The sequence below is a fragment of the Homo sapiens genome, chromosome 9, assembly GCF_000001405.40.
Source record: "Homo sapiens chromosome 9, GRCh38.p14 Primary Assembly".
NCBI classification, from domain to species: domain Eukaryota; kingdom Metazoa; phylum Chordata; class Mammalia; order Primates; family Hominidae; genus Homo; species Homo sapiens.
The window spans coordinates 134,025,076-134,052,847 of NC_000009.12; the positions used below are offsets into that span (position 1 = coordinate 134,025,076).

Below are 27,772 nucleotides of genomic sequence, written 5' to 3' on the forward strand. Positions count from 1 at the left end.
CTCCTCCTCTCTCAGCTCCTCCTCCTCCCCCAGCTCCTCCTCCTGCTCCTCCTTCTCCTCCACTCCTCCTTCTGCTCCTCCTTCTCGTTCAGCTCCTCCTCTCCCAGCCCCTCCTCCTCCTCCAGCCCCTCCTCCTCATCCAGCCCTTTCTCCTCTCCCAGCCCCTCCTCTCCCAGCTCCTCCTCCTCCTCCCTCCTCCTCCTCCAGCCCCTCCTCCTCCAGCCCCTCCTCCTCCAGCCCCTCCTCCTCCTCTTCCAGTTCCTATTCGGGGCGGGCCCAGCCCCTCCTCGCGGAGCGATCGATGGCTTGGGCTCGTCGCACACGCCTGCCCAGCCTCTGCGCTCGGCTCGCCAGGCCTGCGGCGCTGCCATGGAGACACGGCCCAGCGGCCGCCGGCCCCGCCCTGGGAGCCCCGCAGTGCGTCGCGCCGCTGCCCGCATCTCCGAGGCCCGCGACGAGCGGTGACTGGGGCGGGCGACGTGGGGGACCCGGGGATGCGGGCAGACGATAGGGGGCTGGAGGATGGGGCGACCCAGAGCGCGCGGGGTCTGGGGCGCGGGGATGGGGGCCGCGGGCCACGCGACGGGGACCCCAGGGTGCGCGCAGGTGGCGGGGACGCGCGATGGGGGCCCGGGAAGCTGAGGCTGACCTAGCGCAGGCATCCCAGGAGGGGAGGTCCCTGACGCTGCGCAGCTGGGAAGGCGTTCGGGAGTGGGTTGCGATGCTTCCCTGTTTGTTTTCTCCTGACATCGTTTTTGTTTGGGTCCAGGGGCCTCACGGGAGCTGGATGCTCGGAGCAGCAAGGCGGCCCTGGGGGCCCCTTCCGGTCCCGGGGCTGACGCCTGGCGGCGTCTCCGGGAACCCGCGCCCTTTCAAGCGCCGCTGGCTCCTGTTTCACAGATGGAGACCCTGAAGCCCCAACAAGCAGCCTCCCCAGCACCTCCCAGTGACTGAAAAAGCTGGCACTGGGCGCCCGTCTCACTCTCCACCCAGCTCCCAGGCTGCCCCACGGGACGTAAGTAGCTCGATCTAGGCCGCTGACCCCCAGAGACTTGATGCTGCGCTGCAGACTGCCGCCGCTGCCGGGGCGCTTGACTTCCCCTCTCCTGACAGCACGTTCGTTCCTTTGCAGCAGCACCTTTGGGGAGAGACGAGACCTGAACAAACGCTGGGGCTGGATCCCCAGGGTGGGTCAGAACAGCCGTTGCCCTGAAAGCTGGCCCGGACAGATGCGTGCGGGGCGTGCCACCGGAGCTCCTTCCAGCTTGCGTCTGGGGCCACCATGTCCCTTCCTCAGGGCACTGGATCCATCTCTTCAAGCTCAGTGGTCCAGGCCATGGTGGCAGAATCACCCCCCAGGGTGTGACGCCTCGTCCCTGTCAATTCCACACAGCTGCACCCGGAAGAGCTGTGGCCGGGCGCCGCTCTGACCTGTGTGCGGTCCCCTGAATGGGTCTCAGGTGTCTTCAGAATGGTGAGGCCGCCTCATTTCCTCACCACACAACCCTCCTGAGGACGTTGCCTGCAAATGGGCGGAATTCCTAATTTCTACCATTCAGTTAAACGAGGGATCCTTAAGCCCCAAAGCTGGGAAAGCTGTCCGTTAATTTAGTGCGCGTGGGCCGTCTCAGAACAGCAGGGTTCCCAGGAGTCCAGCGGGACGGGGGAGGGGATGAGTGGCCGTGTCCCCCTGGCAGAGAAGGCCTTGTCTGAAGGCTACGCCCGCCTCCGGTACAGGGACACCTCCTTGCTCATCTGGCAGCAGCAACAGCAGAAGTTGGAGTCGGTGCCACCTGGGACGTACCTGAGCAGGAGCCGAAGCATGTGGTACTCACAGTATGGAAATGAGGCCATCTTGGTCCGAGACAAAAACAAGCTCGAGGTCTCTAGGGACACAGGGCAGTCCAAGTTTTGCACAATTATGTAATTCCGATGTGAGCACCTGAACCCAGGACCACACTTTGAGGAAAACAGACCTGAGTTTCATTCAGTTGTCTTGTTGATTTCCAATCCTTGCTGGAAGATTTTGAATAATGAACGTGAAGATCAAACTGTGGTGTAAGAACCCAAGAAGCGCAGAATTGGCCCCCGAACCCCTCAGCACAGCCGCGGTGTGACTGGTGCACAGGACACTTCCCCTCTAGAGTCCCCTCCGTGGTCAGCTGTTGTGACATTTGAATTCTCCAGGTGCTGCTAGGGACAGCATAGGCCCGGGCACTGCTAGATGCTTGGTTTAAACCAGGCCAAGAGTAACCCTCCCATCCCCATTACAAACCACCTTTTCAAGTTTTTTAGGTTTTAGTTTTTTGTTTTTAGCATAAATGGCGGAGTAGCAGCAGCATCTCACCAGGAGCTTTGTCGCATTACATTTTGTATTTTGCTTTTTTGAGACGGGGTCTCACTCTGTTACCCAGGCTGGAATACAGTGGCACAATCACAGCTCACTGTAGGCTCTATCTCCTGGGCTCAGGTGATCCTCCCAAACTCAGCCTCCCAGGTAGCTGTGGCTCCAGGCGAACTACTGTATATAGAGACAGGGTTTCCCTATGTTGCCCAGGCTGGTCTGGTCTTATAGTCCTGGGCTCAAGCCTCCCAGAGTGCTGGGATTACAGGCATGGGTCACCGCACCAAGCCCGCATTTATATTTTGAGTTACCAAAATGATCATCATCTGTGAAGCATCATGGTAGCTTCCAAGCATTTGCGGCCCACTGGCCAGTGCATCCAAAACACATTCAGGAAACCCGAGAGTTGTAAGTTGCACATGTGTGGCCTACAGTGACTTCCATGTAGTAACAGGGCTGAGCAAGGCAGGCTCTCCACCAGACTTAAAGCATTCAACCACTCTGCCCCCAGGCCGACACTGACATGTGTTCACTGTCGCTGCCACAGCTGGCCACCTGTGTTCAGTCTCCATGAAGGATTCACCTTCTGCTCTCACTGACATCTCCTTGGCTACACAAATGTGCAGGTGTCTCTTGTCAAAGCTAATTTTTCTTTTCTAAATAAACATCCTTTAATACACTCCTCCCCTTCCTCACACTTATTTTTATCCTTGTTCGTAATATCCTACTTGGCTTCCCATTTTTTATAGCAGTAATATGTAATTGATTGCTAAAGACTGCAATACACAAAGGCATAAAGCAAAGCACAAGTGCTCTCCGTGGGGAGAACCCGGCCGGCAGCTGGGGATGCGTCCCACAGCTCCTCAGCATGCACACACGGTCACGTGATTCTGACGGCCTCATCCTGCACCATGCCTCTTGTATCCGCCATTTTCTTTCTTGCTCAACTGTACAGACTGGGCATTCACTTAATGCTTTTCTTTTTTTTTAAGAGAGTCTCACTCTGTTGCCCAGGCTGGAGTGCAATGGCACAATCTCAGCTCACTGCAACCTCTGCCTCCTGGGTTCAGGCGATTCTCCTGCCTCAGCCTCCTGAGTAGCTGGAATTACAGGTGCCTGCCACCACGCCTGGCTAATTTTTCTATTTTTAATAGAGACAAGGTTTCACCATGTTGGCCAGGCTGGTCTCGAACTGCCAATCTCAGGTGATCTGCCCACCTCGGCCTCCCAAAGTACTGGGATTACAGGCGTGAGCCACCGCACCCGGCCCACTTCATGCTTTTAACCTCTGACTCGCAGCTCTCCCGTGAGCCCACAGACGGGCACAGTGACAGCATCCAGGTTGTCATCTGTGCAAACAGCATGTTCTGAATGTGCCTGTACTCTGTTCGTGCTTCTCTTTGCAGCTGTGCAAGTTCATTCGCAAACGTCCTAGAAGTGGAACTGCTGGGTCAAAGTGCATTCCCCAAATGTCCTGCCAGAGGCCTGGTCGGCAGCAGCCTCCTGCACAGCCCGAGTCCCTTCTGCGAGAGTCCTGGCTTGTTTGCAGCCTGCAGCTGGGAGATTTGAAGTCAGACTTCCAGGATTGCCGCATGGAGCTGCAGAGGGAGTGAGCATGGGGCTGGAGGACCTGCCCCGCCGGCTGACACTCCCACAGCAAGGCGGGCCCGCCAAGGAAGCACTCCACATCCGCTAGGTAGGGTTTGTCTGCATCTTTTCAGTTCTTCAGTTTAAGTCCTGCCTGGGAAGAAAGCAAACTCCAGAGGCAAATCTGGAATGCCTGTGTGCCACCTTCTCACCGCACCACAGACTCCCCTGAGGACGGGTTGTGGCGGGGTTGGCCCCAAGCATGGGAGGCAGCGCAGACATGCAGAATGGGGTCTGAGGTCACGTTGCAACGCTGGCAGGATGTGTGCTCAAGGGCCAGTCTCTGCAGGGGTCAGGGCGTGTGGGCCACGCACAAGGAGCTGGCACTAAGCCGCTTAGGCTGCAGGAAGACACCATCTGCCTGGGGCGGACAAGGCCCCATGTCCGTCCTCAAGGAGGCTGGTCTGGATGAGAAGGGTCACAGTCTGGCCAGGAGTGTCACCGTGCCCCCTGACCCCATCTGGGGTCGGGCTGGACAGGTCCTCAGGCCTAGACGTGGGCCCAGCCAGAACCTTCTCCCCTGGCATGTCTCTTCCAGGCCTAGTTCCAGAGCTGTCATTCTTCGGCGAGCCGCGCTGCACGCCAGCCTCCAGTCTGGCAGTTAAACCTCACTATGAAAATCTGCTTTTGGGATTTTATTTGCATTTCCATTAGACTGAGCGCATCACAAGCCACTTCAGGATAGACTGAGGTGCAGAGGGAGGGGACAAGCGGCCAGGTTGACTAGAAGAGCACAGAACCTGGCTGTCTCGAAGAGGGCAGCTTGTTCCAGGGAACCAATGAACTGTCAGTAAAGGGGATTGTGGCTTCCTAGTGAGGCAAGAAATGATGCTCCCTTCATCCTGCCAGGGCTCAGGACAAGAGCTACTTAATGGTTTGATTATTATTATTTTTTAAGAGATGTTGTCCAGGCTGGAGTGCAGTGATGCAATCATGGCTTACTGCAGCCTCAAACTCCTGGCCTCAGGCCATCCTCCTGCCTCAGCCTCCCAAAGTGCTGTGATCACAGGCACGAGCCACTGCATCCTGCCTTTAAATGGTTTTTTGGGGCCCCTTTTGGATGCTCTGGGTGTTTTTGCCAAGAGTTACAGGATGTCAAGTGTGGGGAGCTCAGCACCCTTGCTGTGGACCAGTGAAGGCTGTTCCAGACCAGGTGCTTCCAGACATTTCCAGGCTCCAGGAGAGAGGCTGGGAGCCCCCACAGAAAGCACAGGAAAATGCAAAAAAAAAAAACAGTCTTTTTTTTTTTTTTTTTTTTTGCTTTTTATTATGAAAACAAAACAAATGCCCCAGGAGAAGGGTCCATGATTACCAGAAACATCAAAGAGTACTTTCTACCATTTTTATTCTGTTGTGTTGAGGCCAGCATTGCAATAAACAAGCTAAACTACTTACATTGGACTCATTTTCAGTAACTGACATTTACAGGAATATACTAGAAACGGCACTAAAAAGTTTAAGAAAAGTTACGGTAAACTTGCATGCACATCATACAGAAAAGTAACATTTTAAATATAAAAAAGAAAAACTTCCTGGAAGCATTATGCCAGTATTAAGGAACAGTGCTACTCTGGATGTGACAAATTCTGTATGTGGGTGTTACTCTTTCCCAAAAGACTGTCAGAGGCGTGAGTGCTGCAAAAGAACAACAACAAAAACAAACACACAAAAAAATGTGTCTTACAGTTTGTAAGCAAGATGACACTGCCCAACACAAAGAGGGGTCTGGAGTTCAGTTCACGCCCGAAGCCTGCCCCCTCGGCCTCCAGGGGTCATTCAGAGTGTTCTCAAATCCAATTCCGACACACGACTTGTCACTACTCCTCTCCCCTTGAAAAAAGCATGTTAGAAGCTGCCCTACAGGTCTCAGCAGTGGGACAATCTAATTGAATCACCGCAGCCTTCTAATACAGAAGAAACGGACGTGACTGTCACCCTCAGCCCGCCAGCAAGGGCGCTGAGGAAGTCATTAATCCTTCGAAACTCTGAAAAGAAACCAGTGTTGAAGTCTGGACAGAAAGCCTTAAAAAAGTGACAGCACCAATGCAGCTGCTCAGTGTACCCGCCGTGGGCTGTCAGGGTCAGTGGCTTCTTTCTAGATGAAAGGAGCAGAGGCGAGCCGACGCCACCGTCACAGAGAACCAGCCGAGAAGGAAAGGCCCCACGATGCTCCTGCTGCGCTGCCCCCACAGCCGGCCGCTCCCCCGACGGCTCACACAGGCAGCACCTCACTGCCCTGTGGCTGGAGGGGCATTGCAAGGAGCGCCCCCCAGCCCCAGGCACCCCCGGCTTAGGGTGTACGTATCACCCAGCCCTGTGCTGGCAGCACGTTACCAACCAGCCTGCGTGAAGACCTGTCAACTGTCGTGTGTGAATTCCTTAAATTCGGTTTAAATAGTCCATTAAAGATCTGTTTAGAAAATACCTTTGAAAACGAGGGTAACTTTAAAAAATGGAAACTTTCAAATCCATTTATATTTTTATTATAAACAAAACTTAATTAAAAGTTTAACAAACTGGCTGAAAACTCACCAAGTGTCAGACTCACCAGCAATTTAAAAAATGATAATTTACCAGCATCTCCTCATCAGAGTTCCCTCTCCAGTAAGGGTATACCTACATCTGTAAGGGTCAGTGGACTCTGAATCAATTTTATGGTTGTTTTAAAATCACCGTGTATTAGGATACTAATGATAGTCCCTATATCCATCCAGAAATGCTGGCAGAAAGCACTGGCCACCATACAGGACAGACCACACCACAGCTCCATACCCAGCGTCTGCCTGGAGGCTCCCCCACGCTGAGGTCCGGGAGAATGCCTGGTTTCAGTCATTTCCGGACTAACTGTGACAACGCGTGAGCAGGGAGCACCGTGCGAGTCTCCGGGAGGGAATCCTCCTGGGGCCCAGAGACTCCTCCACCCCTGGGGAGGGCAGACAGGCTCGGGAGGGCCTGGCCAGGCCACTGGAGGCTGGCAGGGAGCAGGCATGTCCACCCGCAAGCCTGGGAGGCTAACTCTGGCATTCCTGGCCGGAGCCGCCATGCTCATTGGTGGGCCAGTTTGGGACATCCCCGTACTCAAAGACCATATGGCAGCCTCTGGGAAAACAAAACCAAAACATCACCTTCTATTAAACTCTGTATATTATTATTTTTTACAATAGAAAGTTAAAAATCAAGACTTAGATTTACTATACATTTTTTCTCTCAGATTACAAAGTTTATATTATATAACTGGGGTTCCCTAAATTGATTTCTTTTAAAACAGTCTTAAAGAGACCAGAAGTGAATACAAAAGAACTAAACAAAATAAAAAATTAGAATGTGCTGTAGCTGAAAGCTGTCTATACCTGTAAGCCTCCAAGTTTCATACAAAAAAAAAAAAAAAAAAAAACCACAAAGAAAAAAACCAAAAAACCCAACAAACCCAGGGGCGAGCGCGCGAACAGACGTGGGTGAGCACCGCGCGGTGGCAGGAGTTAGCACCTGGAGACGACAGGCCGCCGCCAGACAGGACCCGCGCCCGGCACACCACTGGCAAGGCCTGCATCTCTGCGACTGTGTGAATGCATTTCTTCTGCGGTTTTTTCTTATTTTCTTTTTTTTAAAAATGACCAATGATGTTAATAAATAACTATTTATATACACATAAGCTCGGGAAGTGGTTCCCAAGGGTGGCGCGGCAGCAGCAGCAGGGGCAGCGCTAGCCAGGCGGGGACTCACAGCGGGCTGGACTTCCGTAGAAAATTGCCGAACCTTACAAAAAAAGTCTCCTTTTTTTTTTTTTTTAAATCTTTTCTTCTTTTTTTTTTTTTAAAGTTGAGGTAAAAGCTTCAGTGTATGGAAACCTGCAGGCTGCATACACAGCCGCTCTGTTCCCTCCGAGGAGCTCCTGACATCACCACGAGCGGAGAACGCACATCCCACCCGACCACCCCCCAAGGGCTCCACGCTCCGGGCTGGGGCTGCGATGACCCTTCGCTTAGGCCCAGCCTGGTCTCCACAAGCAGGCACATCTGTCCTCAGCCCCTCCAGAAAGAGGTGGCCGCGTCAGACACGAGGGTCAGAGCTCGGGGCCCAAATGACAAGGACAATGCGTGTTGACAAAGCTAACAGCTTTCAAATACAGTACCCATATCCGAGACATTTCCTTGGAAAAAATTCTTTCTCGAGCTATCGACCAGGTTGGGCCTAAGCAAAGGGATTCCACAAGGTTCTTCGGTACGAATCTCACACGGTTTTCTGGGGTCATCGGGTTAGCATTTGAAGTTGTCATCTCCAAGTGACTGAATTCAGTGATGAAGAAGAGACTTTCTGCAGAGTTCACACCTTCTCATCAAGTCTAACGCACACACAAGATAGATCTCTGACCTATGAAAGCAAAAACTGGAAGATATCATAACACTGAATTAAGAAGCAGACCTGCACACCATGGAACAGAAGTAGTAATATGAACCACAGAGGGGTACGGCAGAGTCTCGGCGTGTGCGACATCCATCTGTCCTGTTCTGTCCGAAGCCAGTTCATTCTGAGTCACTGCTGTCAGAGCTGGACCCGCTGGAGCTGCTGCTCCCAGACTCGGAGGAGCTGCTGCTGCTGAGCCTGGACGGGCCCCCTGAGGGTGCTGAGCCGGGCTTCTCTGTGGAGACATGGGCAGGGAGATGCGCTCGCACACCCGCTTCTTGACCCGCTTGGCGGCATGTCGTCCATGCCAGCGTGACACCATCACACTGGGTGCCACGACCCACCCACTTCCTGACCCAGTCGTTTAATAAGTATTTATTGAAATTAATCAGGTCAACAAGACTATCTGAATATACTTGAGACAGGAAAAAAATGAATGCAGACTACTAACAGGAAATGATGGATGCGAGAAAGGCTGCCCATCAAAAACATCCACCAGTCACATGGCCACCAGCAGCGACAGGAACACCAGCTGCTGGCGTTTCTGGAGCGCTTACTCTGCCTGGGGCGTCCAAAGAGTGACTACAGGAGACAGACCCCTTCAGCGGGCAGGGTCATGGGCCCTGTCTCGACACTGGGCAAACCATGTCGCAAGGCCATGGCCCCCAGCTAGAACATGCTCCAGTCCAGATAGGACCCTACTGTCCCCCCCATATGTGTGTCCTGGAAGCCAGGAAAAGAGATGTGTGCTCTAACAGGGTCCAGAAAAAGGAGGCAAGGGCTCAAATGCTGGCTCCCCTGAGCAAAGGACCTGGCAAAGCGCAGGGCATGGGGCTGGGCCTCCCGCCTCTGCTACCTCGGCCTGCCATGGAACTGATGCCACTGCCAGGGAACAGTCAGAAAGCTCACGGTGAGCCCAGCTCACTGGCTGGGCTGCCCAGTCCAGCCCCACAAGAGCCCTCTCCTGGGGGGTCCTCTGTCTGTGGTGCCCTGGAATGGGCTGTGTTCACACACACTTGACATGTGCACACCTCCCTGCAGGGTTGGGGTATGACCCCCAGTGACAGACCAGGAAATGGAGGTTTCAGGAGCTCAAGAGCTCGTCTAAGAACATGGAGCTCATCAGGAGGTAAGCCACACTCAGACGTGGGCCTGCTCGATGCTCAAACCCCTACTGCTGACACCCCCCACCCCCCTAAAGAGGGGTGGCACAGCGGCCGCCAGCGGTACCTTTCCGGGCGGGCTTCTTGCTGCTGCTCAGCTGCCCGCTGACATCCTGCAGACGCTTTTCCAGCTCCTTCTTCTTTTCCTGAGCTAGCTCCTCTTTCGACTTGGCTGCCTGTTTCTTCCCGCTTGCTGCTGTCGGGGAACAAATGGGCACTCAGACTGCAGAGCAGACCGATGGGGCAGGAGCCAGGGCTGCATCCAGGTGGCCAAGGCCCCAGCCCTGCACACTGGCATCCATGCCAGCTGCCCAGCTTTCATGAGTCTGGGAGCTGACAGATGCAAAGCTGTCACCAGGGCTTCGAGTGGCAGAAATGACTGGGATGAGACAGACCCACCACCACCCACATCTGCTGAGCCCTCAGGGTGAGCAAAGCCTGGATCCTAAGGTGACAGAGGCCATTCCTATGGCGCAAACAGGTGCACGGACAGGATGCGGTTTGGCCAACGTCCCTCATGTGCAGGGCAGAGCCTCTGATTCATGGACCTGCCTCACCAGGGCCGCTGCTCTCCATCTGCCCGAGCAGGAGGCCCGGTCTCCACTGCCTGACACTCCTGAGTCGCTCCCTCCAAGTTGACCCGGTGACTTACCGTGGGTCAGACGCACCATGACCACACAGACATTCCATCCAGGAAAAGGAGCAAGTGAGGCCCATGCACACCCGAGAGGCCACATGCAAGTTCAAGTGAGCCCTGCACTCACTTGACAGCCTATGGGGGCTGCCACAAGGGCTGCCTCGGGTCTGCCCTCCCTCCTACTCTGCCAGACCTGCAGACCCCAGCAGTGACTCGTTCCTGCCACTGACTTCAGGGAAGCCTGGGCCGGTGCCCCAGGGTCCGTCCTGTGAGGCTTCTGGACTTGTGACCCCAGTCAAAGGGAGGGTGTCCTTGTTATAAGACAAGCTGGTCTGCCCTGCAAGGGACCATGAGAGGTCACCTGCAGCCAAGGCCCCAAATGGAGGGGAGCCTCAGGAAGGCATGCAGTGAGGACCCCAACTGGGCCCTGAATGAATGGGGTTTGGGGCCGGAGCCCAGCCCCAGAGTCGCGCACTCCTTGGACAAGGTTAAGGCCAAGGCACGCAGTGCTGCCCATGTCCCCAAGAACAGGGAAAGAGGGCTCTGGCTGGGTGGGGCTCAGGCCTGGGTTCAGCCCCAAGCCCACTGGCCCTGGGTGAGCACAGATATCCTCAGGGCATCTGTGGTGGGACGAAGGAGCCAAGACAGCGTGGCAGCCCTGTGCCCAAGCTCGCCGCACAGGGTCCGTGAGGAGTGACAGGAGGGGCAGGCCAAGGAGGGGAGAGGAACTTCAAGCACCACGCTCCACGCAGGCAACTTACAGAACGGTTTCCTTTGCTTTTTCTGTAAACAAGACTTGACATATCTCTCCAGTTCCCGCAAAGTGGTGGGTTTCAGAGTCTCAAAGTCAATTTCTATCTCGTCGGGGTTGGAGTCCCTGAGCGAGGGCTCCCGAGATTGGATGATGTGCACTACCCGGCCCAGCTTCTCCCCGGGCAGCCGGTTGATGTCCAGGCTAAGCTGGCGCTTTTCATCGTAGCTCATGGGCAGGCCCTCCTCCTCTTCCTCTGAGTCGTAGGAGGCAGATGCCTGCTTGCCGCCTTTCTTCAGCTGTCTGGGGCAGGAGACAGAGCAACGTGGTGTTGAGTCTCCGTCTACCTGCCGTGGGAGCCCACTGCACACACCCCTTCCTCCCAACAGCAGGCTGCTCTCTGGGACCAAGCTTTCTTCCCAAAGTGGTGCCCCAAGGCAGAAAATCCAAGGTTAGAAAAGTCGCTCCCAGCTGCGGGGTTTCCAGCCCTTGGCCAGGAAACAATTACAGAGGTTCGTTCCTCTCTACACCCCATAGGCGTCTCAAACTCCACAGGTCAAGAAATGATCTCTGTATTCAGGTAATCCAAAAGAAGGCAAAAAAGGGGGAACAAAGGAACAGAAAACACAGAGGAAAAAGAAAATAATAAAATGAGAGACCGAAATCCAATTATATCAATAATTATGTGAAATATAAACGGTCTAGGGCCGGGCGCGGTGGCTCACGCCTGTAATCCCAGCACTTTGGGAGGCCGAGGCGGGTGGATCACGAGGTCAGTAGGTCGAGACCATCCTGGCTACCACGGTGAAACCTCGTCTCTACTACTAAAAATACAAAAAATTAGCCGGGCGTGGTGGCGGGCACCTGTAGTCCCAGCTATGCGGGAGGCTGAGGCAGGAGAATCGCTTGAACCAGGGAGGCGGAGGCTGCAGTGAGCCAAGATCTTGTCCCTGCACTCCAGCCTGGGCGACAGATCGAGACTCTGCCTCAAGAAAAAGAAAAAAAGAAAGAAATATAAATGGTCTAAACACACCAACTAAAAGGAAGAGATGCTCAGGTTGGATTAAAAAAACAAGAAGACCCCACTTACATAGTGTCTACACAAATGCCACTTTAAATATAATGTTCTAAGTAGGTTAAAAGGAAAAAAGTGAGAAAAAAATATACCATGCAAACACTAGTCAAAAGAAAGCTGGTGTGGGTATATTAATTTCAGACAAAGTAAACTTCAGAAAAAGGAGTATGTTCAGGAAAAAAGGACAACGCAGGGCTGGGCGCGGTGGCTCACGCCTATAATCCCAGCACTTTGGGAGGCCAAGGCAGGTGGATCACCTGAGGTCAGGAGTTCAAGACTAGCCTGGCCAAATGGTGAAACCCTGTCTCTACTAAAAATACAAAAATGAGCCAGGCACGGTGGCGGGCACCTGTAATGCCAGCTACTAGGGATGCTGAGGCAGGAGAATCACTTGAACCCTGGAGGCGGAGGTTGCAGTGAGCCGAGATCGTGCCACTGCACTCCAGCCTAGGCAACACAGCCAGACTCCTTCTCAAAAAAATTTAAAAAATAAAAAATTAAAAAAAGGTTTCAAGTCGGTAATCTAATCTTCTACCTTAAAAAGTAAAAAGAAGCCAAGTCTAAACTAAGCAAAGGAAACAGTAAAGATCAGAAATAAATAAAAGTAAAAATTTTTTTTAAAAACATCAATGAAATCTAATTATGTTTCTTTGAAAGATCAATAAAATTGGTATGTCTCTATCCAGATTCACCAAGAAAAAAAGACACAAATTACCAATATCAGGAATGAAAAAGACACATCACTACAGGCCCTACAGACAATAAAAGGCTAATAGAGAAATACTAACCAATAGACTTATGTCCATAAGTTTGACAATCCGAGTGGAATGGATTAACGCCTTAGGCATAAACCTCTAAAACTCACTCAAGAAGAAACTGATAATCTAATAAGCCTATACCTATTAAAATAATTGAATTCATGATTAAAAACCTTCCAACAATCAAAACTCCAGGCCCAGATGGTTCTGCTAGTGAATCCTACCAAACATTTAAGTATTAATATCAATTCTATACATTTACTCCAGAAAACAGAAGAGGGGCAACACCTTTCAAATCTTTTTTTTCTTTTTTTCTCTGAGGCCAAGTCTTGCTCTGTCGCCCAGGCTGGAGTGCAGTGGTGTGATCTCGGCTCACTGCAACCTCTACCTCCCGGGTTCAAGAGATTCTCCTGTCTCAGCCTCCTGAGTAGCTGGGATTACAGGCGCCCGTCACCAAGCCCGGCCAATTTTTTCTGTTCTTAGTAGAGACAGGGTTTCACCATGTTGGCCCAAATTTCTGGGATTACAGGTGTGAGCCACTGCACCTGGCCTCAAATCACTTTTTACTTGCCTCTAATCACTCAAATATTATATCCCAACCAACACTTTTTTTTGTAAAGAGATTGAGACCACTATGGGCAACACAGTAGGATTCTAACTCCTGAGCTCAAGTGATCCTCCTGCCTGGCCCTCCCAAAGTGCTGGGGTTACAGGTGGGAGCCACCACACCAGGCTGCAACTCATTTTTGAGGCCAGCATTATACTGACACTAAAAACAGACAAAGATAGTACAAGCTGGGTATCCCAAATCCAAAAATCCAAAATGCTCCAAAATCTGAAACTGTCTGAGTCTTAACGTGACGCTCAAAGGAAATGCTCACTGGAGCATTTCAGATTTTCAGATTTGAGATGCTTCAGTTTTGAGATGCTTCAGATTTGAGATGCTCAATGGGGAGTATAATGCAAATATTCCAAAATCTGAAAAAATCCAAAATCAGAAGCACCTTTTATTTTGGAAACATCCTTATTTTAGATAAAGGATACTCAACCTGTATAAGAAAAATGGATTTCTGCATCTGCCTCCAAAAAGGAGAGAGGGAGGGAGGGAGAAAATAAGGGAAGGAAAGACCTATCCCGACCATTCCACTCGCTGTCTTCATTAATGGCTGACCCAGCTGTCTAACCCCAAACCCAGGACCCCCATGCTCCTCCCCTCCTCCCTCCAAGCACCAGGGCCTGGCCATGCCGCCTCCCAAAGTAGTCTATCTCCAGAGCCACACCAATTTCTTTTGCCTGCACAACCACCATAACCTCCAAAGGGGTATCCTTTCTTCCATTCCTGATTTCCACTAAGCTATTCTCCATAGTGGCGAGGATCTGATCATGTTGAGCTTAAATCCTAACTCTCCTTCATTTGCTTGAAAAGGAAGCATGAACACCTCAAACAAAGCCGGCTGATCTCAGCAGCCTCAACTCACCTTTTTTCCCAACTTGTTCTTTTTCAGTGGTGCCAACTTTGCCCTCATTCCCAAAAGGAACACGTCCTACTGGCCTCTGTGGCTTTGTACCCGTTGTTCCCTGTTCTTGGAACTCCCTCCCTGGCCCTCTGCTGCCAAGCTTGCTCCCACACAGCTGTTGCCTCCCCCTTGGGAAGCCTCCCTTCCACCTGGCCAGGAGAGCTCCCATCCCGGGCCTGAGCTCCTTCCCTACTAGCTCACACTGCTTTGTGGCTCCTGCATGTCCCTAGCAGACGCTCCTCAGGGTGGTGCCCAGCCACAGCAGGGGCTCCCGAAGGAGGCTGAATGCAGCTGTGCACGATTCCACCATCCCTGCCCCCTGCCTATGGGCAAGTCCAAAACGGGGCGTTCAACTCCCCCTAGTCAAGATCCTTGGCCCAGACCAGAGAAACATCCCAAAAGCTTCATGATGTGGAGACCAGGCCGTGCCAGCGCTTCAATGCCCAGAATCCAGGCCAGCCCCGCAGACAACTGAGCAGCATCACCTGGGCCCCCGGACTTCCCAGCACAGGTCTCATCAGGCCCTCTGTCTCCCTGCCCCCATCACCCTGGTTTCCAGGTGGCCAAGGCACAAAGCCCCCAATCCCAGCACTGCTGCTACATGAGCCCCCATGGCGTGCTGAGCGCTGGGCTCTTGGAGCCCGAGCAGGTCTGGAGCCCACCTGCCGGCCGTGGTCGTGCTGTTGGCCTTCTTGGCAGGAGCCTTCTTCTGCTGAGCCTGCTTGGCAGGCGGAGCCACCTTGGCCTTCTTCTCTTCCTCGGCCTTCACTTTGTGCTTCTCCTTCTCCTTCTCCTTGTCCTTCTTCTTCTTCTCCTTCTCCTTCTTCTCCTTCTTCTTCTTTGGTTTGTTTACTGGGGCCTGAGACAGGGCGGCCAGCTGCTCGTGCACGGCCTTCAGCTGGAAAAGAGCGGGCGGCTGAGCAGGTGCTGGGCACGGCCCACACCACTGGGGCTGCGTGGCGCCCTGGGATTGGAGGGGGCTTGGGGCGATGTCGGAGCTGCCTCAGCTGGGTGAGGAGGTGAACCAGGAGCACCTGGGCCCTGCTCTGCCCCTCACTCCCGTGACCCCCAGTGAGTCATGAGCCCTCTCCGCCTCGGCTTCTTCGCCTGCAGTGGGGAAGAGCTGCCTGGCCACAGGCTCAGCACTGCGCGGGTGGCACAACAGGGACTCGGTGAGGGCAGCTAACTTTTTAAAAAAAATGTATTATACTTTAAGTTCGGGGATACATGTGCAGAATGTGCAGGTTTGTTACATAGGTATACATGTGCCACGGTAGTTTGCTGCACCCATCAACCCGTCATCTACATTAGGTGGGCAGCTAACATTTTTATTATTACCATTGTTCAGATAAGGAAGGACTCTCTAGAAGTTTAAATGCCCACACAAAGGAGATTTTCATCAGTGATTTCTGGGAAGCCATTTGATAACACGCAGGACTCCGGGGTTAAAACAATCCACTGCCAGCAACCAGCATTAATCCAGGGCCTCCCTGCAGCTGGCATTGTGCCAAGCGCCTCGCCCTCCCCACTGCAGCCACCTCCATGGGAGAGGCCCCTTGAGAGGCACTGCCCATGTGAGTCCACGGCCTGTCCCTGCCTCTGGGTGGTCTGTGCAAGGAAGACAGAGGGCGGGTGGAGGAGCTGCCACCTCACAGCCGTCTTCCCTGCTGTGTGTCCTTGCCACTTCAAAATCAAATGTCCAGCCCAACTCTGGGGACTGCAGGGCCATCGCTGTCCTTGCAGCCCTGATTCATGCTGTTCCCCTCCTGACTCGACAGCCCTGCTCTATTTTCTCCCAATCTGGGGTCCCAGAAATCATGCATCTGGCTGGCTGCCAGAGGTCTGGGGAAACAATTCACATCTTTCTCAATCTGACCTCAAGACAGCTCAGAGTGGGTGACATTTGTCCCATACTGCAAACGAGGAAAGCAGAGAAGGGGGAGGAAGCACAGCCTGGCAGCGGGACTGGGGCTGGGCAGCTGCACGGCAGGGCCCTCAGGACCCTGGAGCCTGCACCCCACCCCACTGCAAGTGACTGCTTGGAGCCCAGGCACTACTGTGGCCTCTGCAAGTGCCTCACAGGCCTTTCTGGAGCAGAGCAAGGCACACATAACCACACATGACCCCTGAGCTCCCACCTGAGGCCCGCCAGGTCTCCAGAAACATCCCAGCCACGTGTCCCCGCAGCCACCCACGTGTGCTGTGGGTTAGGCTCGCACCACCCCAGACCTGGGGAGGGCACTCCGAGTGTCTTTACGGGGAAGCACTACCGCGGCTGCTGAGGGACAGGGGCAGAGGAAGGAACCATGCAAAGGGACGGACCTTGGGCTGCTGTGCCAGCAATCCCGCCTCAGCCCCTGAACCCCACCCAAGCATGCCAGTGCCCACCTGCTCCTGCAGCTCCGCCAGCCTGGTGGCCCGCTCCTCCTCCGAGTCCGAGCTGCCTGAGTCCGAAGAGCTCTCCTCACTGCTACGGCTGCTCTCAGCGCCCTTGCTCACCATGGGGGCCGCGGGGGCAGGCAGCGCCGGTGCCTCCACGGGCTCATCTGGCATCTTGGCAAACCTCATCTCAAACACGTCCTGCGGCAGAACAGAGGCTGCCCTGAAGACATGGGTGCCCATGGGGCTGCCCCTTGGTGTGGGCCCTCAGGGTTTCTGAGGTGCCCCTGAGGCAGCACCCACAGCTGTTACGAAGGTGGGGCTAGGAGGAGACAGGGTCCCGCCTGCCTGGGGGGCTGTGGTTGCTTCCAGCTTGCCCACCCTCCCTCCCCAGGCAATTCCTGCGGACAGGCCTGGGAAGAGGGGACACAGGAGCTGGCCCACAGCTCCCTTCAGCAACTCCATGAGCCCTCTCTAGAAGATGCATGCATCCTTGTAGCCTCCTGGCCCAAAGCTCCCTGGGGCTGCCTCTGCTGTGAAACGGGAAACAGTGTCTTCCCTTGAGCTTGGACAGGGTCCTCCACAGCCACAGGAGTCCAAGAGTGTTGACCTCTTCCCATCTCTTCACCCCGGAACTGACTGCAGCATCACATCTCATGAACGGTGAACTCCAAAAGTTGGCTTAAAAGGCCAAAGTCTAGTCCTATCCATACTTTATTTACAAAAAAATATAAAAATTAGCCAGTCATGGCAGCACATGTCTGTGATCCTAGCTGCTCGGGAGGCTGCGATGGGTGGATTGCTTGAACCCAGGAGGTCGAGGCTGCAGTGAGCCGAAATCATGCCACTGCACTCCAGCCTGGGTGACAGAGTGAGACCCTGCCTCAAATATATATACACACACACACACACACACACACATATATATACACACACACACATATACACACACATATATATACACATATATACACATATATATACACACATATATACACATATATACACATATATACACACACACATATATATACACAAATATACACACACACACACACACACACACACATTTTTAAGTTTTACTTTTACTAATTTTCTTTTTCTCTCAAGACAGAGTCTTGCTCTTTTGCCCAGGCTGGAGTGCAATGGCATGATCTCAGCTCACTGCATCCTCCACATCCTGATTTCAAGTGATTCTCCTGCCTCAGCCTCCTGAGTAGCTGGGATCACAGGCATGCGCCACTACTCCCGGCTAACTTTTTGTATTTTTAGTAGAGCCGAAGTTTCACCATGTTGGCCAGGCTGTTCTTGAACTCCTGACCTCGTGATCTGCCTGCCTTGGCCTCCTAAAGTGCTGGGATTATAGATGTGAGCCACCACGCCCGGCCTACTTTATTTTTTGTAGGGACAGGGTCCTGCTCTGTTGCCCAGGCTGGTCTTGAACCCCTGAGCTCAAGTGATCCTCCCACCCTGGCCTCCCAAAGTGCTGAGATTACAGGGGTAAGCCACCACACCCAGACTTCCTATCAAAATTGACTTTGGAAAGCCTTTGGACCAGGACCTAGGCCCTCCGTCACCCCTCTCAGCAAACATCCCCCTCCCTGGGGCAGCCCAGGCTCACTGAAGACAGGGAGGCACAGTGATGTGGAAATGAGGGGAGATTTCTTTTTGCCAAGCTCAGAAACCTGAATCCACACCGTCTGCTCACGTGACATGCCTTCACTGTTCAGGCTGGACCCAGCTCTGGAGAAGCCCACCCCAGGCTCTCATATCCCAGGCTCTCCTCTCAGGAGATGTCCCCAGAGGCAACCCAACCCACAGAGCAGCGGTCCAGGCCCCCGCTCGGCCGACAGCCTTGAAGGCCATGCAGGTCAGGTCGTTTTGCTGTTGGGCTCTAACCCCACAGCTCAACTGATAAAATTGCACAATTGCTAAATAGTGCTCAGTCATGGAAATCCATCAGCCTCAGGGTCTCCTCTGTTGCCCAGGCTGGAGTGCTGTGCAACCACAGCTCACTGCAGTCTCCAACGCCCGGGCTCAGGTGATCCTCCCATCTCACTTTCCTGAATAGCTGGTACTACAGGGACACACCACCACACCTGACTCGTTTTTAAAATCTGTTGTAGAGACAGCTCGTCTCAAACTCTTGGCCTCAAGTGATCCTCCCACCTCCGCCTCCCAAAGTGCTGGAATTACAGGCGTGAGCACCATGTCTATCCAACAGCACCTGTTTCAGGAGCAGGGGCAGAGCTGCCAGCTTCCCTGCTCGGTCTGCAAGCCTGGGTTTCCGTCCTCTATGCTCAGCTCCCTCGTTAAACTCAACCCAGTATTTACCAGGCTCCAGAGGACTGGCCTTTGCAAGGTCTTTTGGGTTCAAGACACAGTAAGCGAGGTCTCAGTATAAAACCAGGGTTCTGACGGCTTCCTCTGGATGTAGTGGGACCTCCAGGACCACCCTGCCATCATCACCCACAGGACCCAGTGCACAGAGAGGGTGGCAATGGCAGCAGTGCCTGGGAGAGGACCTTGGGTAGGCCCTGTGCGCGAGAGGGTGGGAAAGGCAGCAGGACCCACAGGGGGAACGAGTTTCTCTCTCTGCCCCTTTTATGGGTCCTGTGTCATCCACAATAATACCATGGGCTGCTCGGGGATTTCAAAACAGTCTATGCAAGGACTGAGAACATCTTAACATGACATTCTGGGTCCCGTGAAAAGGAAAAGCATGCTGGAAGAGAACACATACCCATAATTCTCCCCTTTCCTCCAAAAATCAAGTCCTTTGATTAACATTTATAACAGTGGTGCTGTTATTTATAAAAGCAAACCACCTGCGATCACAATTAGAGAAGGTAAGAATAGATTCTGGCACATCCACCCACACCAAAATATGTGTGCGGGACCTGGACTTTGGCAGAAAAATGCACACGCAGGCAGGAGCACACACACGCACACACGTCCACACACACACACAAATATCTCTGTGAGGTTTGTGCATGTTCACAAAGTCCCTGCGCTGAGAGCTAGACCAAGACACTCCTGTTTTCCCTGAAGACATCTCACTGCTTCCTGCATTTTCTCCAATCCGCCTTTTACTTCTGTTGTCAGAAAAGCAAAATGCTACACAAGCCACTGTCACCTAATTCATCCACCGGCTGCACTGACAGGCTAGTGTCCAAGCCTCTCCTTGCCACAGAAGACTTGCTGGAAACTACAGTCAGGGAAGCCGCAAGAGAAAGAGCATCTGCCGTCCCACCTGGTACACGCACCAGTCCCTGGAGGGAAAGACTCACTACTGCGACACCCCCACAGAGCCCCAGTGGTCCCACCTGCTCGCTGGCTGCCCTGCCCCAGTGGCAGCTCCTGGAACCCAGCTCAGAGCCTGACAGGGACCTGGTTGGCACTCGGGAAAAAGGTGTTGAGGGAATGAGGCTCTCTAAGGCCTTCCTCGGCTGGACATTCACCTGGGCGCTTACCCCACACTGAGGCCAGGATGCCCACAGCACTGAGCTGAGCAGCCCCACCCGTGCCCAGCCTCGGGTTACCTGGAGCTTCCGGGCCATGGCCACAACCTCGTGGTCTGGGGGATTGTATTTGTAGCAATTCGAGAACATCAGCCGGACATCAGCAGCAAAGCCCTGTGCGTCTGGGTACTCTCGGCCATCCATCTTCCTCTGCAACACACAGTGACAGGGGCCAGTGAGCGTGGCCCGTGGCATCAGGACTCTCTGCCACACCCCACGAGATGAACTCTGGAGCCTCAGGAGCCACTGCCAGCTCCAGGGCAGTGCCTACTGGCCTGGCCGGCAGGACACCCCAGCTCTCTGGGACCTCGTACGAGGAAACCCAAAGTGAGGACATGAGAGGGTGACTTGATGGCTTGGCAGGGAGGGTCTGGGACTCCAGAGACAGATCTCCTGATTGGAAGAAAAATGCACTCAACAAGAAATCCCAGGTTCCCGTAGGCGTCCCTTGGCCCCTTCCTTGTCCAGAGCTTCCCTTCACACAAAGCGGGTAAATCTTCACACGCCGCCACGCCATCAGCAGCCCCAGGGGGCGTGAGGCTGCAGCAAAGTCAGACTCCACCAACAACAGGGGGCCTGCTCAGTCTACACAAGGAAATGTAATTTTTTCCCTCGAGGAAGCCAGTAGCTGTTAGCCAGCTTGCGTCTTACAGAAGCACCCTGGTATCCCAGGGGCCTAGCTGGACCTAAGGGACTCCACGCTGTGTCCAGCGGCAGCTCCTGAACCCCACAGGGGTGGAGGCAACGGGGGCGTGTCGGCTGACACCCACCCACGTTTACTCGGCCACACAGAGACCCTACAGCAAAACCCACCGCAGGTCCCACCTGGCTCTGGCAAGCAGAGAACTGAGGCCAAGGCCTGGGTAGACAGTGCCAGGCGGCAGGGGTAAGGAGGGGCACACAGTCAGTCCCCAGAGCTGGGAGGTGCAGGTGGCTCTGCCAGGGAGTGGCCAGAGGCAGGATCGTCGAGGGACGCTTCAAGGTGGCCACTGGGAACACACTAGTTGGGGCAAAGAGAGGTCACGCTGTGCCCGAGGGAGTGAGTTTCCCATCCTGGGATGGCTTCAAGGAGAGGCACCTTGTCGGGGACCTCGAGGGACGACACACGCAAGGGCAAGGCAAATCTACCCCGACCGCTCTGTGGGGTCCAGGCTGCATTTGTCCAGGTGCCAGTGAGATGGAGGGGCCGGGTCCTAACCCGCAGAGGGCGCCCCCAACTCAGGGCCCGTACCCTATGCACTCAGACATGAGACCCATCCAGAAGGAAGGGCTGGCAGAAAGAACCCGGGGGCACAGTGGGACCTGGAAGCCTCTGATGTTGGGGGAAAAGCTAGTTTTCCGTTTTAGCATGTGCCGGGATAAACCATCCCCAAAAGCTCCATCTGTATAATCTAGAGGTCCTGAGGCCTCTCTCCCTGATTCACTGCCCCTTTTCCGCAGCGTCCGGGCCACAGTCGCGGGCAGCAAGTGCTGCCACTGCACCTGGCTTCTCCCCATGCCATGCCAGGACAGATAGAGGTGGGAAGCTCCGAACAAAGCAGATCATGACTTTAAAGTGAATTGTTTTTCTAGAGCTTCTTTATTATGGTTTCAAGGGCAAATCAGACCCTTTGACCAAAATGGAATTAAGCTGAGCTTGAGTCCAGCCCAAACACTGGAACCCCCCATGATGTTCCAGAAATTCCTGTTAACTGTGCTATGGTAGAGACACACAAACCCCAGCCCTGGAGGCTGCAGCCGAGGCTCCTGGCAGCTTCTGGGCTGCGTGGCTCTGGCCCTCAGCTTCCCCACCCACGGCAGTGGAGCCAGGCGGCCCCGCTCGTCACTTTCACCTGACTGTGCACCGGGCTCTGGGGCCTGGGCCAGCCAGGTCTGTCCTGCCCGAGATCCAGTCAATCAAGGAAGAAAAGGGTTTCATCAGCAGATCCTGCCTCAGGTAGGCAGAATGACTGCGACTGGCTTCCCAGGATGAAAACAACTGCCCAACAGGGCTGCCAGCAGCTCTTCCCAGGGCCGCACGGCAGTTGGCGGAGGAGGCAGGTCACACCTCTGCCAACTGCCTGCACGTCCCTGGGAGCTGGCTTGGAGCTCTCCCAGAGGGAGGGCAGGTGCCAGCCAGGAGTCTGGAAAGGTGCTCAGGGAAGACCCGGTGGAGCTCACCCTGGCTTGGGGCGGTGCAGCTCAAATGCCGCACCCACCACCACCCCCCATAGGGACCAGACTCACTCTGACCTGCTGTGAGGCACACAAGAGCCCAGGCAGAGGCTGCCGCCTTGAGAAGACTGGCATGGGGGAGGCCAGGCTCTCGGTCTCAGCTCTGCCACCCACCCAGGTCCCGCTTCCGTCTTGTGAGGGGGTGGGGCTTGGAGGCACTTAGGGGACAGAAGCCAGGCCATCCCCACTGGCCGCCTCACTCCTGTCTGCTGTGAGGCGCCTGTATCCGGGGCTTGAGGGAAGCAAAGTGCAGCTTTAAAACTTTGCCAACTGTGAGAGTGGCCCAGCTCTAGGGACCCCCTGACCTGATGATACAGAATGGGAGGTAGGAATGAAATCAATGAAATCACTAAACGGGTTCGATGGGAATAAACAACAACAGAGCCACAGACTCCGGGACCCACAGGCAGAGCACGCCTTCCTCGCTGAGCCTTGCCAGCCACAGCCGGCGCTGCGGGGGCCAGCCTGGAGGGTGCGCTTCTCCGGCAAGCGAGACCCTGCTCCCCGACAGCCCCCACTCAGCCGGCACAAGACATCAGCACCCACGGCAGAGCCGCAGGACATGGGCAGAGCAGGGCCTGCCGCGCGGCCACGTACTTTCACGGTGCTGAGGTCCATCGGGTGCTTGATGATGTCGTGGTAGTCGTGCAGCTCCAGGGCCTCGGCATCCACTGGCTTGTAGAAGGGCCAGGCGTAGGCCGCGTGCTTCTTGGATAGCATCTCCCTGAGGATGCTGTCGCAGTAGCGTAGGTGCTCCGACAGCTTGCCCTTCTTGCCTGCGTGCTGGGGCACCTCGCCGTCCTCCAGGTCCTTCTTGGGAGGCTTGATGGGGCGGCCACCACTCTCCCGCCGGGCCACCACTTTGGCCTGCTTGGGGTCTGACAACGGCGGGGGCGACTCACTCCGGCTGGCAGTGATGGCCGACGTCGTGGGAGTGGTTGTGTCTGCTTTCCGCTTCACGCCCTTTTTCTGCGACAGTGAAATAACCAGTGAACCCCGGAAACCAGGGGCCCCGAAGACGCATGTCGCTGCAGCCGCGTTTCTGGGGCACTGTCTGCCTGCCTGGCGCTGGGCTAAGCGGCCACATGCACGGCCCCACAGGAGAGGACACCAAGGCTCAGGGGCCATGTCACTGGCCCAAGGTCACACAGCTGGCAGTGGTGAGGCTGGGACTCTCCCTCAGGATCAACTCTGAAACCCGCCCTCACCTGGGCGAGGGGAGATACCTCTCTCCCTTAGCCCCGAGGGCTCAGGGGTCCCGGGTGGGCTCGCACCTCACACCCCAAGCCATGTGAGGTGCTGCATGCAATTCGCCAGACACCTAACAAGCACCCAGACCAGGACCCGGGGACCTCGGTGCTGCAGAGACCTGGGAGGAACTCCCTGCTTCCAGGAAAGTTCCAGACAAGGGCCTGAGAGCGGGGGCTCCGCGGACAAACACAAGTTTTGCGGGACAAGAGGGAGGCAGGAGAGCATTCCAGACACAGGGCAAGGGGCAGCCCAACCAGGAGGCATGAAGCAGCCACAGCAGCTCTGGGAACAAGGGACCTCAGGGATTGAGTGGGCAAGTCTGGACTCCATCCCAGCAGCAGTGGGAGCCACCGAAGGCCATTTCAAGCAAGGAGAGGAGGGAGATGACCCACAGAACCTTCTGTGGGTGTGTCCTGGGGACGGAGCCAGGCACCAGGCAGACGCGCATGTTTAACGTCCAGGCCTCCTGGGGGTGTGCAGGTCTCTCTGGGCAGCCTGCAAGGGCCTCAGCACCCAGCACCCATGGGCATCACCTCAGCGTTCCAGGGCCAGGGCTCAGTGTGCACCCTGAGACCAGCTCAGCCAGCTTCTAATCTTAGCCCAGCGGGAGAGGAGCCAGCGGGAGCCACGGCTCCCAGCCCACGGCACCTGCCGTCTAGAGAGCCACCCACAGTCACTGCCCAGCCAAGCCGCCGCCCTCAGACTGGCAGGGGCCGGAGCCGGCTATCCACAAACACTTGGCAGGCACCCACGTGCTGCCAAGCGCCAGGCGCGTGCCGCACAGGGCGGATAGGAGCGGGGACAGACTCGTCTGGCCGTGGCAAATGGGACATGCTCCAGAAACAGCCCCCACTGGGGGAGGCGGCTTGACCAGGGGCCACCCATAAGTGCAGGCAGTGAAGGCCACGGGGAGGGGAAGCAACGGAGGTGGCATTTTACCTTGGGCGAGCCATTTAACCCCTCTGAGCGCCCGCTTCCTCATCTGTAAGATGGGGGAAATACTGTCTGCCCCAGAGGGTTGCTGTGAGGATCAAATCGAAGAAGATAATACACATAAGTGCCTGGCACGGGCCCTGCCCAAAGCAGGAGACTCACCAGGCCTCGCCAGCCCCAAATCTTGCAGGGAGCACCCACTCCCTGCCAAGACCAACAGGGCCCACTGAGAAAAGCTCCCAGCCAAGTGGGGAGCAGGACAGGCAGGTCCCCATGCTCCCATGTGGAGCCCACAGGCGGGGCCAGCTTGGGTGCTGGCACCTCACAACGCACCCAGGTAGGTACAGCTGGCACCACTCTCCTGAGTGTGAGCAGGGGAGGACCGGGACCCCTCCCACCCTGGCTTCTCTCCCACAACTTCCCCACCTTGACCAAGCCTTTGGCCAGGGCTTCTGGCCAGAGAAGCTGGGGTTCAAGTTCAGCCAGGCCCTCCCTTACCAGCTGTGTGACCTTCAGCTCCCCAGGCCTAGGTCTCCTCATCTGTGTCAGTAACAACGGCCTGAGCTCCCAGGGCGCAGAGAGAAACACTCCCAAGAGCCAGCACTCAGGGAAAGGTGGGGGCCCCCCGCCTGCTGCTCCTGCCCTGACCTCAGGAACCCTGGCCGGGCTCAGGTGCCCCACCCATCCGGACTCAGGGTGCTCACCTTGACGACAGGCGGCGTAGGAGGGACCACGGGGACGATGGGTGTGGCAGGAGGAGGTGGGGCGGCAGCTGGGGGGACTGGGACCGACGTGACGTTTGCAGTGATGGTTGGTACAGGGGTGGCAGCGATGACGGGCGTCTGGGAGACGGTGGGGGGCACGCTCTGAAAGGGGGTCGCTGGGGAGACAGAGGACACGGCCGCCACTTGCTGTGTACCTTCAAGACAAGGAAGGGATGTTCAACACACCAGGCTCCACTAGTATTTCCAGAAGCTTCCAGTGCCACCCCTCCAGCCAGAACACGGGTACCAGCTCTGTGCTGCCAAGACCGCCGGCCAGAAGAACCCTCCATGCTGAGATGCCCCCCATCCTGCATCTTGGGGGCAGGGTTGGTCTGGCTCATCTTGGCTGAGGGCTCCCTGCATGAAGTGGAGGCCCCCCACCACAGACCATAGGAGGCGGAACGAGGAAGCCAAGGCAGTCCCATGGCCTGGCAGTCAAGGGCCACCCTGGAGTCATGGAAAGCTGGTACTGAACTCGGTTCCCTAAGTAACAAGCTGAGTGACCAACGATGTGGCCGTACTTAAGCCCCCAGCTTCTCCCATCTGCAACACGCGACGGCCCGTGGCCCTGGCCATCCCGCTCAGTCAGCCTCTCCACCCAGACAACACCTGCATGCCGGGTTCCCAGGCCAGGTGGGATCCTGGGGCTCACGACACTAATCACCACCATGCTCCCTGACAGCAAGACGCGGTCTTACTTGACCAGGGAACCAGGCAGGTGATAGTGACTCTCAGGTCACAGAGAATCAAATGAGTGCTAAAGAGACAAAGCCCCAGGAGGGGAACAGGCCCCACGCGTCGTGGAAGAAGTGACCTCAGGGCTGGAGCTGGAAGGGGGAGCAGGATTTGGGAGGTGGAGAGCAGGGACAGGTGATCCTCCTAGACCATGAGCTCCTCCCCAGCGTGGGCTCAAAGGCAGCCAGCTATGGCGTTAATGTCTTCCGTATCCCCGGGCCAGCTGCCCCTCCAACATCACCCACAGGCCACACTCATCCAAGACCCGGCACCCACGAGCTCGTCACGACAGATGGGAAACAGCTCAGATGGCTAAAGGATCGCGTCCCAGCCCATCCACCCGTGGGCCTCTGCAGAGAGGCCCAGCCCCTCGCCTGCCCCAGCTCCCTTTACCTGCGCTCTGGGCTCCCGCAGCCGGCTTCCGACCTTTGCCCTTTGGAGCAGGGGGTAATAATTCAACTTCCTCTTGGGGCATCTGGGCCACTTTTTGTAGAAAAATTTTCTCTAAAGCTTGGGCCATTAGCACTATGTCATCTGTGGGCTGAAGACACAGAGAGTCCAGGTCACGTGTCAGGAAAGGAGCTGTGTGCTTGCAAAGGACATTATTAGTTGTAGCTCAAAAAAATATTTAAAATTTGTTAACAGATTTGGCAGCGCAGGAGAGAACAAAATGAATATATGTGTGTGTGTGTGTGTGTGTGTGTGTGTGTTGTTTTTTTTGTTTTTTTTTTTTTTTTTTTGAGATGGAGTCTTGCTCTGTCACCCAGGCTGGAGTGCAGTGGCATGATCTCGGCTCACTGCAACCTCCACCTCCCGGGTTTAAGTGATTCTCCTGCCTTAGCCTTCCGAGTAGCTGGGATTACAGGTGCCTGCCACCACACCTGGCTAATTTTTTTGTATTTTTAGTAGAGACGGGGTTTCACCATGTTGCACAGGCTGGTCTTGAACTCCTGAGCTCAAGTGATCCGCCGACCTCGGCCTCCCAAAGTGCTGGGATTACAGGTGTGAGCCACGGCACCCAGCCAGGTGAAGCGCTTTGGGCCTGCCCAAGAGCTGCTGCAAAGCGCCCAGGCCCACTGCGTTGCACAGCGCCCCAATCCTTACTGCAAGCGGCGTGCCAGGCCCGCATCTTCTTACCTTGTTATAAATGTAACAATTTGTAAACATGGTGTTGAAGTCCTGCATACATTCGCTTGCACTCCAATAATAATTATTTTCTAGTCTCTTCTTAATAGTCCCCATATCCATTGGGTTTTTAATTATTTTATGATAATCCTAGGAAAGAGATTTTCAGAGGCATTACCAGAAGATTCTACATAATTATTTTCACAATTCCCAAGTGGACACAGCCCGACCTTCCCAAGTGGACTGAGGACTGGGGCTGGCCCAGAGGCACTTTCTGGTCTCTGAAGGCAGTGGGCTATGGTGACGTGAGTACTTGGCCAGCTCCAAACTCCTGCCCAACCTCTCTCCAGACCCCAAGCATGTGCAGAGAGGAGCCCACGGAGTTAGGGCAGACCCCAGGACAGGTCTACATACTGGAGATGGGGCCAAACCTTCCAGGGACCAAACCTGCAGGTGACCAGGGCCCAGCAGAGCCCAGAGCCCAGGCCACCAAGTGCCAGCCCAGGGATTCCTCTGCAATGCTCAGGGTTTGTCTATTTGGGCCCAGGTCAAAA

At 55.2% G+C, this 27,772-nt stretch overlaps 2 protein-coding genes across 10 annotated transcripts in view, besides 1 other annotated feature; one reads left to right on the forward strand and one right to left on the reverse strand.

Annotated features, from left to right (window-relative positions):
- Window positions 280-699: a silencer, noted in NCBI's record as "silent region_20473". NCBI's record gives its function as "represses an Ori minimal core promoter by ATAC-STARR-seq in GM12878 lymphoblastoid cells {active_cell/tissue: GM12878}" and the evidence as "EXISTENCE:reporter gene assay evidence [ECO:0000049][PMID:35858748]".
- Window positions 406-6,512, forward strand: BRD3OS (BRD3 opposite strand). Of its 2 annotated transcripts, NR_149319.2 has the most exons (4): window positions 406-461; window positions 770-1,015; window positions 1,133-2,187; window positions 3,751-5,385. NR_149319.2 is itself a non-coding variant. In NM_001355256.2 (3 exons), the coding sequence occupies exon 3, from the start codon at window positions 1,673-1,675 to the stop codon at window positions 1,925-1,927; it is 255 nt and encodes an 84-aa protein (NP_001342185.1). In that variant the 5' UTR covers window positions 406-461; window positions 770-1,015; window positions 1,133-1,672; the 3' UTR covers window positions 1,928-6,512. The 2 variants fall into 2 exon arrangements, 1 of the variants encoding a protein (NP_001342185.1); NM_001355256.2 differs by having other exon boundaries at window positions 1,133-6,512.
- Window positions 5,230-27,772, reverse strand: part of BRD3 (bromodomain containing 3) — a 38,244-nt gene continuing 15,701 nt past the window's right edge. For 5 of the 8 annotated variants that reach the window (XM_047423903.1, XM_006717291.4, NM_007371.4 and 2 more), the window contains exons 3-12: window positions 27,231-27,368; window positions 26,487-26,634; window positions 25,299-25,513; window positions 23,008-23,379; window positions 20,218-20,346; window positions 16,685-16,876; window positions 14,959-15,194; window positions 10,957-11,249; window positions 9,626-9,754; window positions 5,230-8,630 (exon numbers count right to left, since the gene is read on the reverse strand). In XM_047423903.1, coding sequence (XP_047279859.1) covers window positions 8,515-8,630; window positions 9,626-9,754; window positions 10,957-11,249; window positions 14,959-15,194; window positions 16,685-16,876; window positions 20,218-20,346; window positions 23,008-23,379; window positions 25,299-25,513; window positions 26,487-26,634; window positions 27,231-27,368 — 1,968 coding nt within the window. In that variant the 3' untranslated portion in view covers window positions 5,230-8,514. The remainder of the gene's footprint in view (window positions 8,631-9,625; window positions 9,755-10,956; window positions 11,250-14,958; window positions 15,195-16,684; window positions 16,877-20,217; window positions 20,347-23,007; window positions 23,380-25,298; window positions 25,514-26,486; window positions 26,635-27,230; window positions 27,369-27,772) is intronic. The other 3 variants (XM_047423906.1, XM_047423905.1, XM_017015165.3) reach the window with 1 other exon arrangement.

Coding starts and splice junctions, on each gene's coding strand:
- BRD3OS (NM_001355256.2), top strand. CDS start 1,673: ATGAGTGGCCGTGTCCCCCTGGCAGAGAAGGCCTTGTCTGAAGGCTAC.